The 17,162-nt window shown below is 49.2% G+C and overlaps 1 protein-coding gene across 9 annotated transcripts in view; it reads right to left on the bottom strand.

Annotated features, from left to right (window-relative positions):
• ESRRB (estrogen related receptor beta) overlaps nucleotides 1–17,162 on the bottom strand; it is a 191,061-nt gene that overhangs the window by 92,856 nt on the left and 81,043 nt on the right. The window contains exons 1-3 of one of the 9 annotated variants that reach the window (XM_011536550.3): nucleotides 11,537–12,006; nucleotides 4,523–4,586; nucleotides 1,386–1,439 (exon numbers count right to left, since the gene is read on the bottom strand). The exons of 6 other annotated variants lie outside the window; for them this stretch is intronic. The gene's annotated coding sequence lies outside the window, so the exon portion shown is untranslated. Of the gene's footprint in view, nucleotides 1–1,385; nucleotides 1,440–4,522; nucleotides 4,587–11,536; nucleotides 12,007–17,162 lie in introns of those variants that run through there. 2 more of the 9 variants (NM_004452.4, XM_047431079.1) reach the window with 2 other exon arrangements.

Below are 17,162 nucleotides of genomic sequence, written 5' to 3'. Positions count from 1 at the left end.
TGGGCCTCAGGCTGTGCAATTATAAAATGGGAGTGACAACAATAGGCCCTATCTCAAAGGTTAAAGAGATGATATGTGTAATATGTTCAGAACAATGCCTGGTTGAAATGAAGCGCTCAATGGAAGTGAGCTCTTACTTCTCCACATGGCCACATTACTCCTCATATATTTTGTAACATTCACACCTTTCATGTAGAATGCCTTTTCCTTTTCCTTCATGCAGGAGCTTTCCCTGGCCAGTTTCTCACTCTCTCCTCCTAGCTCCTCCAGCACCTTGCTCATTCAACCAAGATTTACTGAGTGCCTGCTGCATGCCAGCTCTATGCATTTGGGGGCTGCCCACTGCTCTATGTAGTGCTTATCTTTTTTTTTTTTTTTTTTTTTTTTTTTGAGACAGGGTCTCACTCTGTCACCCAGGCTGGAGTGCAGTGGTGTGATCTTGGTTCACTGCAGCCTTGACCTCCCAGGCTCAAGCAATCGCCCCACCACCTTAGCCTCCGGAGGAGCTGGGACCACAGGCATGCACCCCCATGCACCTGCACCTGGTTAATTTTTAAAAATTTTTTGTAGAGACAGAGTCTTGCCATGTTGCTTAGGCTGGTCTCAAACTCCTGGGCTCAAGTGACCCTTTTGCCTCGGCCTCCCAAGATGTTGGGATTACAGGCGTGAGCCACTGAGCCCAGCCTGGGACATCATTTAACAGTTAAGTTCTTTAAGGACAGATGGGAACTCCTTTCCTTCTTTGTGTCTTCGTAGAAGGTGCTGAATAATTTCTGTAGAATGAACATAAGCATGAATCAATGAGTGGGGCCAGATAGCCTGAGGTGACCGTGAACCTGGTCATGTGCACTTTTTTGGGGCCAAGACCTGAAGTCCTCTCAAACCCGCCTGTTGACTCAGGGCCCCGAGACTGTACTGCAGGTAGAAATAACTGGAGCCAGACACTGTGTCCTCAAAGACTGGCCAGTGCCTATGTGACCTGAGGTCTGTGTGCTGCCTGGTGTCTGTGCTAGGGCTGGGCTGCCAGGACCCGGCAGTCCCGTGTCAACAGTCACCCACCAGGTGGTTTGGCTATAAGAATTCACAGGCTGCCTGGCACAAGCAAATTAGGCTGAGAGGCTCTGTCTGGCTTTCAGGAAGCAAGCAAGCTAGCTGCCTCCCTCCACGTGGGTCTCACTGGCTTTGGCTGCTCAGCATCCCAGTGCCAGCACCTCTGTCCCCCTTTCCAAGGTCACCAGGCAGTAATGTGGTATTTCTGCCCTCCTAGAGGCACCCAGACCACTCCCACAAGACAGCATGGTCTGCATCAATGCTCAGCCACGAGGGTTTTGGACTGAGTGTGAATCGGCCATGTGGCCCTGCTGGCCCGACTGGACCCAACTTACCCTCTGAGCAGCCTGTGTGACCTGCAGCTCCCAAATCACTGGATCACCTCTGGCCTAAACAGAACAGATGGGAAAGCTAGAGTAAGATCGCACTTAGATACCAGACTCTGGTCCCTAAACCAAAGTCAAGGTCAGAGGATTTAGCCTGGTGGCTCTGCTCGATGCAGGCTCTTCGGCCCTCAAACATGGAGAGGGGCAACCCCCGACTCTGGAACCATGGGCTCTAGGGTCACATTGCATTGTGGCTCTACATTTGTGTCCCGCTCAGCAAAATGACTAAAAAGTGACAGCTAGTTGTCAGCAAAGTCTCCTCCCAGCATAGGCTGATGACCAGCAGCATCAGTATCACCCAAAGAGTTTGTTAAATTCAGATCGCTGGTCTCTGCCCCCAACCGACTGACTCAGAATTTCTGAGGATGAGCTTCTGCCTGCATTTTAAGGACTCCTAGAAAGAGAAAATGTGCTGTGACTCCTGGGGCCGACGGCACATCAGCTTATCCTTTGAAGACTGCATTTTCTCTCACCTGATTCTCCCAACAGCCACTGGAGGCAGGGAGGGCCAAGATTCATTTATTCATTTGTTCATTCATTGTGCCAACAACCACGCATTTATTGTGGAGCCTTTAGGTGCCAGACACTGGTGAATACAACACATTCCCTGCCCGCAGGAGGCGGATCAAGACAGAGCACGCACAAGTAAACAGACTAATCAATAACAGAGGACTCTCCCTACCCAATTAGTCTGTTTATTTGTCCACATGGCATTAATGGCTTCTTAGCACTACATCTTGTGTTAGACAAGGATGGGCAAGGATGGGGCACTGGTTTTTTGTTTGTTTGTTTGTTTGTTTTTTGACGAAGTCTTGCTCTTGTTGCCCAGGCTGGAGTGCAATGGCATGATCTTGGCTCACCGCAACCTCTGCCTCTGGGTTCAAGCAATTCTCCTGCTTCAGCCTCCCAAGTAGCTGGGATTACAGGTGCCTGCCATCATACCTGGCTAGTTTTTTGTATTTTTAGTAGAGACGGGGTTTCACTATGTTGTCTAGGCTGGTCTCTAACTCCTGACCTCGTGATCCACCTGCCTCAGTCTCCCAAAGTGCTGGGATTACAGGTGTGAGCCACTGCACCCAGCCGGGGCACTGTTTTAACCAATGTGACATTTGAGTAGAATCTTTAATGAAGAGAGGAAGGGAGCTAATGGGTATCTGGAGAGTTAGGGGAAGAGCTCCCCAGGCAATGGGGATTAAATGAACTAGATATCAGAAAACCATTGAGAACCAAGCCCTAACTCCCAGCCCCAACCCCACCTCCCACCCTCAGAGACCCTCAGAGACATCTCCAGTCAATGCTTCATTTTTCTCCAGTGTCCTCCCTTGCCTCTTCCTTACTCTGTAATTTCTTAGGGCCGGAGCAGGGGCGGTTTGTCCACTCAGCCCTGTAGGCACAGAGCTTCTGGCCTTTGAGTTTTTCCAAAGACCTTCAACATGCTTGAAATATGCAAATACATTTTTAATCCCCAAATATGAAAAGGAAAAATGCAAGATCAAAATGTTTAAATGTGTAATTAAATGTCCACAAAGCACAACCTAATGTCAACTTGCTTCATTAATGGTATATTCGTAAACATTTCATTATGTTAGAAAATAATTTATAGGTTAGATTTTCTTTCCCTTTTTCTGAGACAGGGTCTCACTCTGTCACCCAGGCTGGAGTGACGCGGCACAATCATAGCTCACTGTAACCTGAAACTCCTGAGCCTCATATTCCTTGGCTCAAGTGACTCTTGCCTCAGCCTTCCTAGTAGCTAAGACTACAGGTGCATGCCACCACACCTTTTTTTTTTTGAGACAGAGTCTCGCTCTGTTGCCAGGCTGGAGTGCAGTGGCGCGACCTCAGAGAGGCTTGGCAGGGAGAAGGGCTAAATCCTAAGGGTAGTTTGGCTACAGCAGGCCATGTGCAAATCCCGAGCTTTGTCCATTTTCCTTCTGTCTTTTCCTTTGTCCATTTTCCTGAGGTCTCACCAACAAGCCCCCTGGAAGCATTCTACCTCTTCTGATCATGCTCATGGACTTAAATGCCCAAGATAAACCACCCACACTACTTCCCAAGGCAACTTACAAGGAAACACTCCCATTATCGGTTCATCTGCCCTCTAGGTTCCAGGCCTTCTTCAGTTCTGGGAACCAGATGGGCACAGTGGCTCACACCTGTAACCCCAGCAGTTTGGGAGGCCGAAGCAGGCGTATTGCTAGAGGGCAGGAGTTTGAGACCAGCCTGGCCAACACAGCAAGAACCTGTCTCTACAAAAAAAAAATTAGCCGGGTGTAGTGGTAGTGGTGCAGTGGTGTGTGCCTGTAGTCCCAGCTACTTGGGAGGCTGAGGTGGGAGGATTGCCTCAGCCGAGGAGTTTCAAGTCTGCAGTGAGCTCTGATCACGCCACTGCACTCCAGCCTCAGTGACAGAGAGAGGCCCTATCTAAAAAACAATCAAACAAACAAAGACAAAAACAAAATCTGCGAGCCCATCCTTCCCAAACAGCTTCTGAGGTGTCAGGCTTAAAGTTCGTGTCTATGTAAATACACACAGGAGGGCAAAAACTCAGGAAATTGCTTTAGAAAACGATGCAACCAGAATGTCAACATCCAGCTGGGTCTGTCCCCTTCTGAGGGGCTTCCTGGGTCTCTCTGTCCCTGTTCTTTCATACTGAGCCCTCCTCTATAAGGGGAATGACCATTAGAGATAGTTTACTGCCCACAACAAAATACTGATCTGATTACCGTGCCCTATTTATCATCTCTGAGTTAAGGACCTCAGTGGCCAAAAAAACAGCTAATCTTCTTGGTTCCAAATGATTTTGTTGCTTTTAGAAAAAAAGTCAAAACCATCATTAAGTGTATTTTCAAAAGGCTGGGCTGGAGCTGTTGCCAGAGACGATTCTAAGCACTGGGAAGGGGAGGGAGAAAAGGAGGCAGAAACAATAAAGGAAGAGGAGACGGTGGAGGAAGAGGTGAAGGTGGCTGCAACGCTGACTGCCATTTCCCAAGGGGCTCTGCTGAAGGTGTAAATTCTAGGACATTAGCTAAGAGATCACAGCCCATGGTCTGGCCATTCATTCATTCACAATATTTATTAGATACCTCAAAGTTCTGGACACCATTTTGGCAGGGAAAAGGAAGTCCTTGACCTCAGGAAACTTTTATTCTGGTGGGAGAGACAGATAATTAATTATATTATATAATATTATATAAATAATATATATAAAGAATTTAAAAGTACTTTGTGATACAGGAATACATTTATGTGTGGTATGTATCTACACACACATATGCAGACACACTGTTTGTGGGCACTCCTATGGCTAGGTCCCTGGTGAGTACTGGTTGCTGAAGACACACGCACGCGCGCACACACACACACATACACATGAGACTCTTCCTTTCTGGAACACCCTAATGCAAAAATAGGATGCAACAACCTTGTTTGCACAGCAGATAGACAGAAAGCACACCAGATATTTGAGAGTATGTAGACTTGTCCAAGTCACACCAATGATTGGAGCACAAGAAGGTCCTGCTCCCAGCCGGGCATGGTGGCTCACGCCTGTAATCCCAGCACTTTGGGAGGCCGAGGTGGGTGGATCACCTGAAGTCAGGAGTTCGGGACCAGCCTGGCCAACGTGGTGAAACCCCATCTCTACTAAAACTACAAAAATTAGCCGGGCGTGGTGGAGGGTGCCTGTAATCCCAGGAGGCTGAGGCAGGAGAATCGTTTGAACCCAGGAGGCGGAGGTTGCAGTGAACTGAGATTGTGCCATTGCACTCCAGCCTGGGCAACAAGAGTGAAACTCTGTCTCAAAAAAAAAAAGATGGTCCTGCTCAGCAGGGTCTTACCACCTGTCACCACCTCCACCTCTCTGGCACTCTCAGGGACCACCTCTGAGGGCACCGGGGCCTCGTGCAGCAAGGAAATGTAGAGCTGAGCAGGGTCTCTCTGTCACCAACAAGGCAGATGATGGCTCAGAACACCCTGAGCTATGCTCTGCCTTTCCCTCTTCGACATGACCACATCTTACCCTCATGCAAAGTCTGTCTTCCCTAACAGTATTATACTTCCTCCCATTCCCTCATCTCTTCATTTTCCCTTTTGCCATCAAAAGGCATCCTATCAGTTAAGGACTTTCAGATAAACTGTTTGATTTCAAACCACATGCCTGGTGAGGCCTCTGTTTTGTTTTTGCCTATAGATTTCCCAGCCACACAGTGGGAATCAGGGTAGAGTGGTTAAGGGCATTGTTCTAGAGTCAGACAGGACTAGGTTCAAATCCTGATTTCCCACTTGTGAGAAAGTCACACAACTCTGTGCGTATTTCTTTATCTGTAAAATGAGACACTAGTTCCTAATGCAAAAAGTGGTTGAAAAGATTAAATGAGATCATGCATACAAAGCACTTAGCACTCAGCCAGTACCAAGTAAACACCCTCTAAGTGCAGCTGAATTACAAATTCTGGCTGGGTGTGGTGGCTTACACCTGTAATTCCAGCACTTTGGGAAGCCAAGGCAGGAAGATTGCTTGAGCCCAGGAGTTTGAAAGCTGCCTGGCCAATATGGGGAGACCCTGTCTCTACAAAAAACACAAAAGTTAGCCAGGTGTGATGGTGTATGCCTGTGGCCACATCACTGGACTCCAGCCCTCCAGCCTAGGTGACAGAGCAAGACCCTGTCTCCAGGAAAAAGAAAAAAAGAAAGAAAAAGAAAGAATTCCCAGAGCTGAGTGGGATGTCATGCCTGTAGTCCCAGCTACTTAGGAGGCTGAGGCAGGAGGGTAGCTTGAGGCCAGGAGTTCGAGGCCAGCCTGGGCAACATAGCGAGACCCGCATTTCAAAAAAAGAAAAGAAAAGAAAGAAAGAATTCCCAGAAAGTTCTCTCTTGAGTCCTTTCACTTTGGGATGCAGCTTGACCATGACAGTGCCTGGAAGCCTCAAAATGCACCACAGCCCCAGTCATGGACAGACCGCTTTCTTGCAGCTGGCACAGCAGTGTCTTTCTAATGTTACATCTCCAGGGTGGTGTTTCCCAATGGATAGTTCCCAGAGTCATGGGATTCAACAGGCATCATGGCCCTTCCCTCCTTCCCTCCTCCCCAGTCCCCACAAAGTACCATGGCCAAATAAATAAGGAAAACACTTGAGTGAACAAGTCAAATAGGTTTCTTGACTGCATTCTCAGAACCTTTACTACACTAAAATGCCCTGGAAGGCCGAAGACAGGGCCATGGTTTACAAGAATCTCCCAAACTCATGTGACTGCTATGATGGTTAATTTTGAGTGTCAACTTGACCGGGCCATGGAGTCTCCAGATATTTGGCCAAATATTATTCTGGGTATTTCCATGAGGGTGTTTTTGGATGAGATTAGCATTGAAATCAGCAAATTAAGTAAAGCAGGTTGCCCTGTGCAATCATCCAATCAGCTAGAGGCCTGAATAAAACAAAAAGACTGACCCTCTCCCAAGAGAAATAAAATCCTTCCTGCCCAATGGCCTTCAAATTGGGACATCAGCCTTCTCCCGCCTTTGGACTCAGACTGAAATATTGGCTCTTCCTGGGTCCCAAGTCTGCCTGCCTTTGGACTAGAATTACACTGTCAGCTCTCCTGGGTCTCCAGCTTGCTGACTTACCCTGCAGATTTTGGGACTTGTCGGCTTCCATAATCATGTAAGCTAATTCCTTATAATAAATCTCTTTATATACATAAATAAAGGATATATACACACACAGTCATCCATTGCTTAATAATGAAATGCATTGTTAGGAGATGTCATCATTGTGTGAACATCATAGAGTGTACTTGCACAAGCCTAGATGGCATAGCCTACTACACCCCTAGGCTGTATGGTAAAGCCTATTGCTCCTAGGCTATAAACCTGTACAGCATGTTACTGTACTAAATACTGTAGGTAATTGTAATACAATGGTATGTGTATATCTATACAAAGAAAAGGTGTAAAAAATGCAGTGTTATAATCTTATGAGACCCCATCATATATGCAGCCCATCATTAACTGAAATGTCATTATGTGGCACATGACTATACATCGTATTGGTTCTGTTTCTTTGGCGAACTCCCCAGGAAGCTGTTTCCCCTGAGAGTATCTTGCAGTACTAAAGTTCCACGAATGCTCAAGGAATGCTGCAGCTGAAGGTCAGAATCGAAGAGGGCTGGAGGCCTCCACTCCCCACCCACTGCCCAGAAATTGGGGCCACCATCAGCTGGGTGACACTGAGGTGTTCCCTGAAGTAATCTATCCTCACGGTCCCCATTCATCATGGTCTCTTTAATCTGAAGTCTTCCAGGCTGTAAAGACCAGCCAGCGTGGGGGATTTGGAAGGCTCACTCTTTCATGAATGACAACTCCCAGTCTGTTTCGAGGCTTCCTCTTTTGTTCCCTTTTCCTATGACACAGGATGTTTAGTGCCTTTTCTCGTCTCAACCCTCCCATATGAATATTGGACAGTGTAGGGCTCAGTAGTGGCCTGGGCCGGAGCTGTGATCACACCCGGGGTAAAACGGCAAAAGGAGCCCTTCTTCTCACACATGTGTCTGGCAACTCCCTGCAAGAGGCCAGAGCTCAGAGCACAATCAGGGAGAGCGAGAGGACCACACTCTCGGTGCTGCTTAAACCAGCGAAGAAATCTTATATCTCTGGACCTTAGAACCAGCTGCCCTCTGCACAGAGCAGAAGAGCAGAGCACCAATGGGAAGAGGAGAATTCCTGGGCTAAATGGAGCCCCACCCATAGGAGCCTGCCCGTTGGAGGATGGCGGATATAAACAGTTGTTCGTGTGTCTTCACTTTCTGTCCCCAGGTTCCCTACAGAGACTTAAGGCCCAGCTTGAGGACAGCTAGTTTCCAGTTTCTGGGTTCTAGGCCAGTGGTTCCCATCTTCCAACCACACAAGATAATTCCCACTCCCGTTCACCACCACCCAAACTGGGACCAATACAAAGTTGACGCTATTTGTCAAGTGAGAACATAAAACGTGGGAAAAGGCAACCTAGTACAAGCATCACATTATAAAAGAAAAACCATTTTCACATCCCAAATGAGGAAGACTCTAACCTGAGAATCAGGGACAGACTTCAATGGAAGCGGTTCCTTTTGGAAGGCTTCCGGCTCTTGTCATTTCCCTCATTTTGTTCAAATCTGCAACGGTCTTCAGATGGAAGTCCATCTGCCACTATTCAGAGTTCTCTGCCCTGTGCTCTTTCTCCCCAGATTATGTTCTCAGCTTGCTATTTTCTTATTCAAAACTTCTAAATCTCTACCTTTCCCAGAATGGCTTCTCTAGAAGTTTTCCCAGAAGGAAAATGTCAAAGGACGGCAGTACACGAAGTACCCAGTTGAAGGGCTCCCACTGCCAGGCTAATTCTCAAGAGCAGATGAGGTACCAGGAGCAGGAGGGGGTGTGTATCCTTCCTCCCTTCTGCCCCCAGCTAGACTCTTGCAAGCTCTGGCTCATTCGGCCCTCCCAGCCAAAGCAGCATGGGTTCTGTTGGGTAATTTGCAGGTTTGGCTGGTAAGATGAGAAAGGTATAGGCATCTTGCTGGGCCATTATTTATTCCGCATGGATCAGGGACTGAGCCTGACCTGAGACGGCCACAATTACCCCAGTTCCACTGGACACCTATATGACCTCCCACCGAGTTTGCTCCTTGAAACGGCAGCATCTGGTCAGGAGCAGCAGGGTGTGACTGTGAAGTCAGGAGACCAATTGTGACCAACCGGTATTTATACACCCTAGTGAGCGCTGTCCCCTTCCTCATGGTCACCCTGGGCATCTCTTCCCAATTCCCAGTGATGCTGGCTTTCGTCAAAGCATTTTTGGAGTTCCTCTTGGGAGCTGCCTTTCAGCCCAGATTATCTGAGAAATAGAGTCACATCCTCACTTTCTTTGTAATCAAAAATCTCTTTGCTCAGCTCTGTCACCCAGCTAATTCCCTAGACTTGCCTCCAAATGACCTTGGCTGCATTAAACATTAAATCCACCCGGAATGGAAGGAGACTTGCCATCAGCGAGCATATTCAAAGGGGATGATGTGGGCTCTGAGGGCATAACGAGGAGGAATGAGCGGCGGGGACATTGCTAGGAAGCCTCCTGGAGTGCACATCCAACCTGTGTTGGCTGTTTGATTTCACCTAGCCTAGCATTGATTCAGGGAGTTGGGATTCTCTTATCCTCATCAGGCAGATGAGAACATAGAGGTTCAGAGGCTAAGTGGCTTGTCTAAAGATCACAGAGCAATACCAGGGAACCCCTTGGACTCCGTCACAGGGAGCTTCCTGATGGATTGTCAAAAGCATAGGACTCCTTTAAATAAAGATATATACGCGCTGGTTAAAACACACGGCTGGCCAGCAAGCCACCCCCGTCTCCCTCATCACACAGCCACAGGAACCTTCCCTCCCAGACCATCCACATCTGCTGTTTGGACCCATCTGCAAAAAAGGCAGGCTGCAGCCAGGGGACAGGTGGTAATTTCAGTCCCCAGTGTACTGAGTTCAGCAAGACACTTGGGTCTCAGGGTCTCCATCAGGAAAATGAGGATTTAAAAAACCCCTAACCCACCTATGCAACTGCATCCTTTCTGTCACTTCCTACAGTCCCCTCAGCAGACAGAGAGGCTGAACCGAATCAAATGCAGGATGGTGGTGGTGAGTTGGGACTTAGGAGGCAGGCAGACCTAGGCTGGAGTCAGACTCCACTGTGTGCTAGCTCAGCAACCTGAGCAAGGCACACAGCCTCAGTTTCAACACTTGTAAAAGGAGGAGCAGAAGAGCTTCTACCTCACAGGGTTGTCACAAGGATTCTATCAGCATGTGTATCTGGGAACTGGAATGGTTGACCCCGAATGCAATGCCCAATGCCAACCAGCCTCTTACCCCATACGTATGCCCCCTTGACTACCTAGAGAGAGGCAATCCTCTCCTCTGACCCCTTCCCCCACAGCCCTACCCTCCTTCCACCCACTGCACCCTGCCAAGAAAGGGCACTGCCTCCCTACTCTAGGGAAATACAAATGAAAGGTGACAAGGTGGTAAGCAGCAAAGCAGAGACCACCCCATTTCCTAGCTGCCTTTGAACTCTGATGGGGGAAGCAATAACAAAAAGCGGACTCAGTTTCCAACAGAGAGAGAGATTGAAATATGGGGGAACTATTTGTCTTCTGCAGGTGTGTCCAGCACACTGGACTTTGGAGGTGGGTCTATGTTTAAATGCCAGCTTTGCCTTGTGTTAGATCTGTGACTTTGGGGGTGCTACTCAACCTCTCTGAGCTCCTATTTCCTCATCTGGAATATGAGGAAAATGCAAGTGCCTACTTTGCAGGACAGTTGTGAAATTCAAAAGTACTAACTGGGTAATGCACGATACACTGTGCCTGGCATATAGGAAATACTTCAATGCATGCCAGCTAGCAGGGCTATTGAACCAATTTTCCAACAAAGCACAAGCTGGCGTAGGAGGCACTGCCCCATGTTTAAAAGGCTAGACATAAAAAAGTGAGAGAATATCCAATGAGGCCCTGCATGTGCCCATCCTCTGTTCCCCACTGATATGAAACAAAGGGGTTTATTCAAAAGGGGAAAGTGTGCAACAGATAGTGCAAGCCCCTGGCTGCTGTTGTATCTTCTATAACCTTCCAAACAGGTCAACTTTGCATGCACATACCTCCTGCCACAGGCGACTTTCTGCTCAGGAGGTAGTGCATTTCTGAGTATCAAACCTCGAGGTTATTCAGAAGCCCCCTTTTTGCCCCAAATTATTATTCTTTTAAATGTTTTATTCTTTTTGAAAAATAGAGACAAGGTCTCGCTACATTGCCCAGGCTGGTCTCGAACTCCTGGTCTCAAACAATCCTCCTGCCTTGGCCTCTCAAAGTGCTGGGATTAGAAGCACGAGCCACCATGCCTGGCCTGCCCCAAATTATTTTGTCTCAATTTTTGCCCAAATTTTGTCCAATAAATCTATTTTGGAATTACTTTAAAGCCAGCAAGCCCAGCCTCCGTAAAGAAAATATGACTCTGTGACTGAAGCTGGGATTCCCAGGGTAAGGTCAAACTCCACACATTACTGACACCCTGGATGGGGTACCTGGCGCTTTGGCTGTTTTGCGTGGGTAGCATCAGAGGGCAGAGAAGGAAAGTCAGAGCGGTCACTCCAGGAGGTTCTGCTGCCCAGACTGGCCCTGGGGGACTGGCCTGCTGGGTGCCGTTGACTGGGGTCTTGGCCGCTAGGGGGTCCTGGGTCACCTCTACAAGCCCCCTCCTGAGGCATCTGTAAGATGGGGGGCTCAGGCCCCACAGGCAGCCTCTGGAGGTGCAAGTCTATCTGTGACCTGAATCCGAAGGCCCTGCCAAAGGAATAACAATGAGAAATGTCACCAGGCGCACTCTCTTTGATGTGTCCCGACTAGGGGAATTGGTGTCAGAAGACACACAGAAAAGCCAGATGGTATTTTCCAGGGTCATGGTCCACCATGGAATGAAGCCCAGGGCCCCTTTCATGTCCTTTCCCGAGTCAGTCCGTGCCCGGGCGGCTGGCGTGGGAGGAGAGGCCGCAGAGACACAAGATTAATGGCTTCCTGGGCAGGTGAGCAACCACCCACTCGGGTAGTCACGATCCTCCAGCGACTCCCTCGGCCTGGCTCCATGAGGCGTGAAGTGGAGAGAGAATCTAGTGGTGAGGCCAACCCTTGCCAACCCAGGCCGAGCCTGGCTGCTGCATCTACCGCCAGCGCTGGCTCCGGGAGTTGAGCCTCCGGAAGTTGAGCCTCCGGGCTAAGCCTCTGTCTGGGTTTGTCCTGCTGCAGGCAGAGGCACAGGCTTGGTAGCATGTGCACTGCAGGGGACCAGGGGAGCAGGTGGGCAGGGACCTGGAGCAGGGACAGAACCTGGTTTCTAGAGGACTGTGTGTCCAGAGAGCTGACTTCCAAGTTTTCATAAGGATCCTTTGTATTTCAATGTTTTTCTTAGAAAGGTTTATTAGTTTGCTGGCTTGTTTGCTCACACTTGGTTCCCTTAACTTACACATTAAAATTGTTTTCATTATAGAATATGTACATACAATCAAAAGAGTCAAAGTTAAAGGTAAAAATCTCTCCCAATACCAGGATTCTTAAGCCCATTCCCTACAGCTAACTCAAAGGACAGTTTTTTTTAATATCTCTTTCCCCAAGTTTCAAAAGCATATACCCAGCATTTAGAGCTTAAAAAGCCATACATGTGATTTTACTCTATCCACTGTCCAGCTACTTGATTTTTATTTTTACTCAACTCTATGTTGCCTGTATTTTTATCTCAGTCCACATGAACCTGTGAAGGCTGTTTTTTTGTTTTTTGTTTTTGTTTTTGTTTTTGTTTTTGTTTGATACGGAGTCTCACTCTGTCACCAGGTTGGAGTGCAGTGGCGTGATCTCGGTTCACTGCAACCTCTGCCTCCTGGGATCAAGCGATTCTCCTGCCTCAGCCTCCCGAGTAGCTGGGACTACAGGCACGCACCACCATGCCCAGCTAGTTTTTGTATTTTTAGTAAAGACGGGCTTTCACCATGTTGGCCAGAATTGTATCGAACTCTTGGCCTTGTGGTCCACTTGCCTCAGCTTCCCAAAGTGCTGAGATTACAGGCGTCAGCCACCATGCCCGGCTGAAGGCCTCTTTTTAATGCCAAAGCATTTCTCAACCCCGCCCCCCACCCCAAGTACCAAGTATCATAATCTTGGTACTTTTAGTCTTTATTAGGTGGAAAAATATATAATAACTCCTAATTAAATAATACTTTAAAATGAATTTATAATTTTCTTTTGAATGGTCATAGCCGTGTTTACAGAGAATGCTTGGGGCATCTCTGGTTTGTGAGGCTGACAGTACCCTGCATAAAAGCATTTTGCAAGCATTATTTTATTAAATTCTTCTGCAACCCTATAAGAGAAGGATTCTTATTCCCACTTTTCAGATGAGGCCAGCGTGCACAGGGAGGTTAGGTGACTTGCCCCAGGGTACACACCAAGGGAGAGTTGAGTTGTCAGCTGAATTCATACCTGTCTGACATCAAAGGTCCTGCTTGCTCTGCTGCACCACACAGGGGCTGTCTATTCCTTTATGTTCTTCTAGTGTGGGCCGTGAGTCCGGAGGGACTCCTTCCTCCACACGCCCCGCTGCAGCCCCCGGGGAGCCAGTGGTGTTCAGATCCATGGTAATATTGCCAGACCCTCAAGTGACCTCGGAGCAGGGATGGCCAGTTAGGTACTGACCTTGGACACAGGCTGGAGTAGCTGGGATGCTGCCTGACAGCAGGACGATGCATTCATATTTCTATGCCAGCCATGGAATGAGGCCCCGGGAAGACCAGCATGAGCCAGATAGTGCACATGGCTTAATTCTCAGGTAGCTCTTACCTCTCTATCTCCTCCTCCCACTGGGCGAGGGGCTGACTGTCGGAAACGGAGAGCTCCTACTGAGGTCACCAAGGGCAAAGAAGAGCCTACAGGGATGGCCCGGGGAGAGAAGTGGGCCCACATAGGGAGATGATGGCAGCAAAACCTGTGAAGGAGGCCACCTCGCCCAGACGGCCAGCTCATCTTCCCTCCTACCAGTTTTCCCTCTATCAAAATTATTTTTATCTTTTAATTTTCTTACATGGGAATGGTTCATGTCAGTCCGTCCAGCCATCCTCTGGCTCTGCGTGGCTCCTGCAGTCTCCTCGCCCTGCCCAGCCTGAGGTGGGTATGCAGTGACACTGGCACAGTGACATCACTGATCTGCACTGCCTGGCCCGAGGCTCACCATTTAGGTACTCAGAACCCCAAGGTCAAAGAGGCCCTCAACGCAGCTGACAGCAAACAATTTGCATCCACAAGATGCAAGACAGCTCTGGGTAAAGGTCAAGAGGCCAAGCCCTGGCTTTCCTTCTGCACCCAAGCTGCAGAACTGTAGCCAAGGCCCTCATCAGCTCAAGCCCTCAGTTTTCTCTTCTGTAAAATGAGGGCGCTGGAGCAAATGAGGCTCCCTCCCAGCCCCCACAAGGCTGCATCCTCTTTGGGGAGGAGAGTACCAGCCACATGAGGTGCTCAAGGGATACCAGGTGAATCTTCAGTACAAAAGGCCCAGAAAGAGGGAAGGAGGCAAAACATATGAGTAGCCACAAGATGCACTTTGCACAGCGCCTGGCTCATAGTGGGCAGTCAGAAGATGTTAGCAAATATTACTATTGTCGTGAGCATCAGCAAAGAGAAAAATAGAGGGAAACTGGCCTAGAACGACAGAGGCAGGGAAACAGGGCTAGAAAGAAAGAAGGATGGGGGAAAAGAAAAGAGCCCAGCATCAAAGAGAAGCTGGTTTTGCCTGGAGTGGCCAAGTCTACCTGACACAGGCACAATCTCTGATCTCATCCACATGGCCAGGAGCTGGAAGTACTAAAATTAGAATCCAAAGTGTTCTAGGCTGGGCACGGTGGCTCACGCCTGTAATACCAGCATTTTGGGAGGCTGAGGAGGGTAGATCACCTGAGGTCAGACCAGCCTGGCCAGTGTGGTGAAACTCTACTAAAAATACAAAAAAAAAAAAAAAAAAAATTAGCCAGGCATGTTGGTGCATGCCTGTAATCCCAGCTACTTGGGAGGCTGAGGCAGGAGATTCGCTTGAACCTGGGAGGTGAAGTTTGCAGTGTGCTGAGCTCGTGCCACTGCACTCCAGCCTGGGTGACAGAACGAGACTCTGTCTCAAAAAAAAGAATCCAAGGTGTTCTTACTGAGAAGACAGCAGCCGTGGAGTCCCTTGCCTCGGCCAGCCTGGGGACCCCAGGTCCTTCCGCCCTCAGAACAGTGCCTCTGATTCAAGTCTTGCAGGCATCTGCTGGACATGGGCACCTGCTTGGAAACACTTGCAGTTGCCGGCACCTGGCCACACTCTCCACCTGGGCACCGACCAGGGGACCTCTCTCCTGACTGCCAGGGGCCTCTGTGTTCTGTGACTGCTCTGATCCCAGGTAATGTTTTCTTCTTTGCAGTAAAGGTATTTCATGCAAAGTCTTGAAGTCATAAAATGTAAAATTTTTAACATAAAATACACTTATAGACCAAAAAACAGATCCATTGCCTGACCATATGTAACTATTTTTATTACTATTGTTGCCATGCAAAAGTAGCTGGCACAGAGGAAAGTCTTAGGAGGCTGCAGGGCATGGAGAGGAGTGTTGAGAGCAAGGTGGTGGGCAAGACTGCAAGTAGGGGCGTCTACTGGAGCTACGGAGGGAGCACTTCTCCAGGCAATAGGTCTCTAGGGAGGGCCCATCAGGTTTCCAACTATGGCCTCACAACAAGCCTACAGGGTCTCCTGCGAGAACTCTGCTGGCCAGGCATGGAGCTGGGTGGTCAAAGAATACACAAGGGAGATAAACCCACAAACCCAAGTCCAGGTGTGTTAGATCCTGGCTACAGCACCTTACAGACCAAAGCAGGCCTCCTTCTCTGCTATGCCCCAGATCCGCTATGCCCCAAAGGCTTTGCACAGGAAACTGGCCTCCAGTGCCTCCCTGCCCCACATGCCCGCACAGAGGCCCTCCCAGGGCTGGCCACAGGCCCTGGGTTCCAGCTCACACATGTGGACCACCCCCAAGTGGCTCTTCTCTGTGAAGGCCAGTGGCCACCCAGGGCTACTGACCCAGGGAGCAGCAAGGAGGTGGGCCTGCCCTTCCCTCTTCCTCATTCTTTCTTGGCAAATGGAAGCACTTCTCTTGGCACAGCATGAACAGATCCCAACACTGGCTCTTCCAGATGTCCTGACCCTCTCCACAGCCATACTGGGATGAGGCCCTGGTGGCAGCCCCCGAGCCACATGCCTGTCTCAGGGTCTGCGCTCCCCTTTCCTGAGCCCAGGGTCAGCTGAGTAGTTCTGCCTGAGACCACATTAATGTGTTGGGGAAAACATCAGGAGGGTGGGCCTGGCAAGACAGAGATCTGTGATAGAAACAGTGGGTTTTCTGGGCCCCTGGAATTCTGAGCTGTTTCAGGCAGACAGACTTGGACATGCATCCTGGCTCTTCAAGTGGATCCACTGCGCCACCTTGGGCAGTCACTCAGCTCCTCTGGACCTCTGTAAACGGGGGACAGGACTCCCTACGTAGGTATTACTGTAAAGATTAAAGGCATCAAATGCTAAAACAGCAGCTTCCTTCCCCTCCAAGTTGATAAATTCTAGCACTCCCAAAAATCTACTCACAGAGGCCCTTAGAGCCCAGGAACCCTGTGACACTGTTTCTCGGATATGCCCCTGCCTGCCAGGGCTGCTGGCTTACTCATACCCACACGCCACCCTGCACCTTGACTCTGGGAACACAGGGCCGCAGTGTCTCTGCTTCCACTGGCATCTTGAAATATCAGCAGCCAGGGCAGCGCCTGGAGGCCCCTCCCTGCCCCGGGGCCTGCTGAGAGCCATGGGGGACCCGCTAAGTACTGCAGTTACACAGAACAGAAAGCCTTCGAAGAGCTATCCGGCTCTAAATGCAGGCTGCAGGGATGTTGCCAGCAGAAAGAAACACAGAGTTCTTCAGAGAATCCAGACACAGGTTAGACAGGAAGTTGCTCCCAATGAATGAGTTGGAGCCTGGCAAGGTGGTTCCTCAGGCCCCTCTAGGCCCTCAACCCCTTGGATACTCACCCCCATGCCCCAGCTATGTGTGGCTTGTTGTGAATTAGAAAAACTAAGTTCAGACCCCACCCACC

This window comes from Homo sapiens, chromosome 14 (assembly GCF_000001405.40).
Source record: "Homo sapiens chromosome 14, GRCh38.p14 Primary Assembly".
In the NCBI taxonomy this organism is placed as follows: Eukaryota; Metazoa; Chordata; class Mammalia; order Primates; family Hominidae; genus Homo; species Homo sapiens.
The sequence above is the reverse complement of the archived record's forward strand: the minus strand, read 5'-3'. Positions and strand labels throughout refer to the sequence as shown.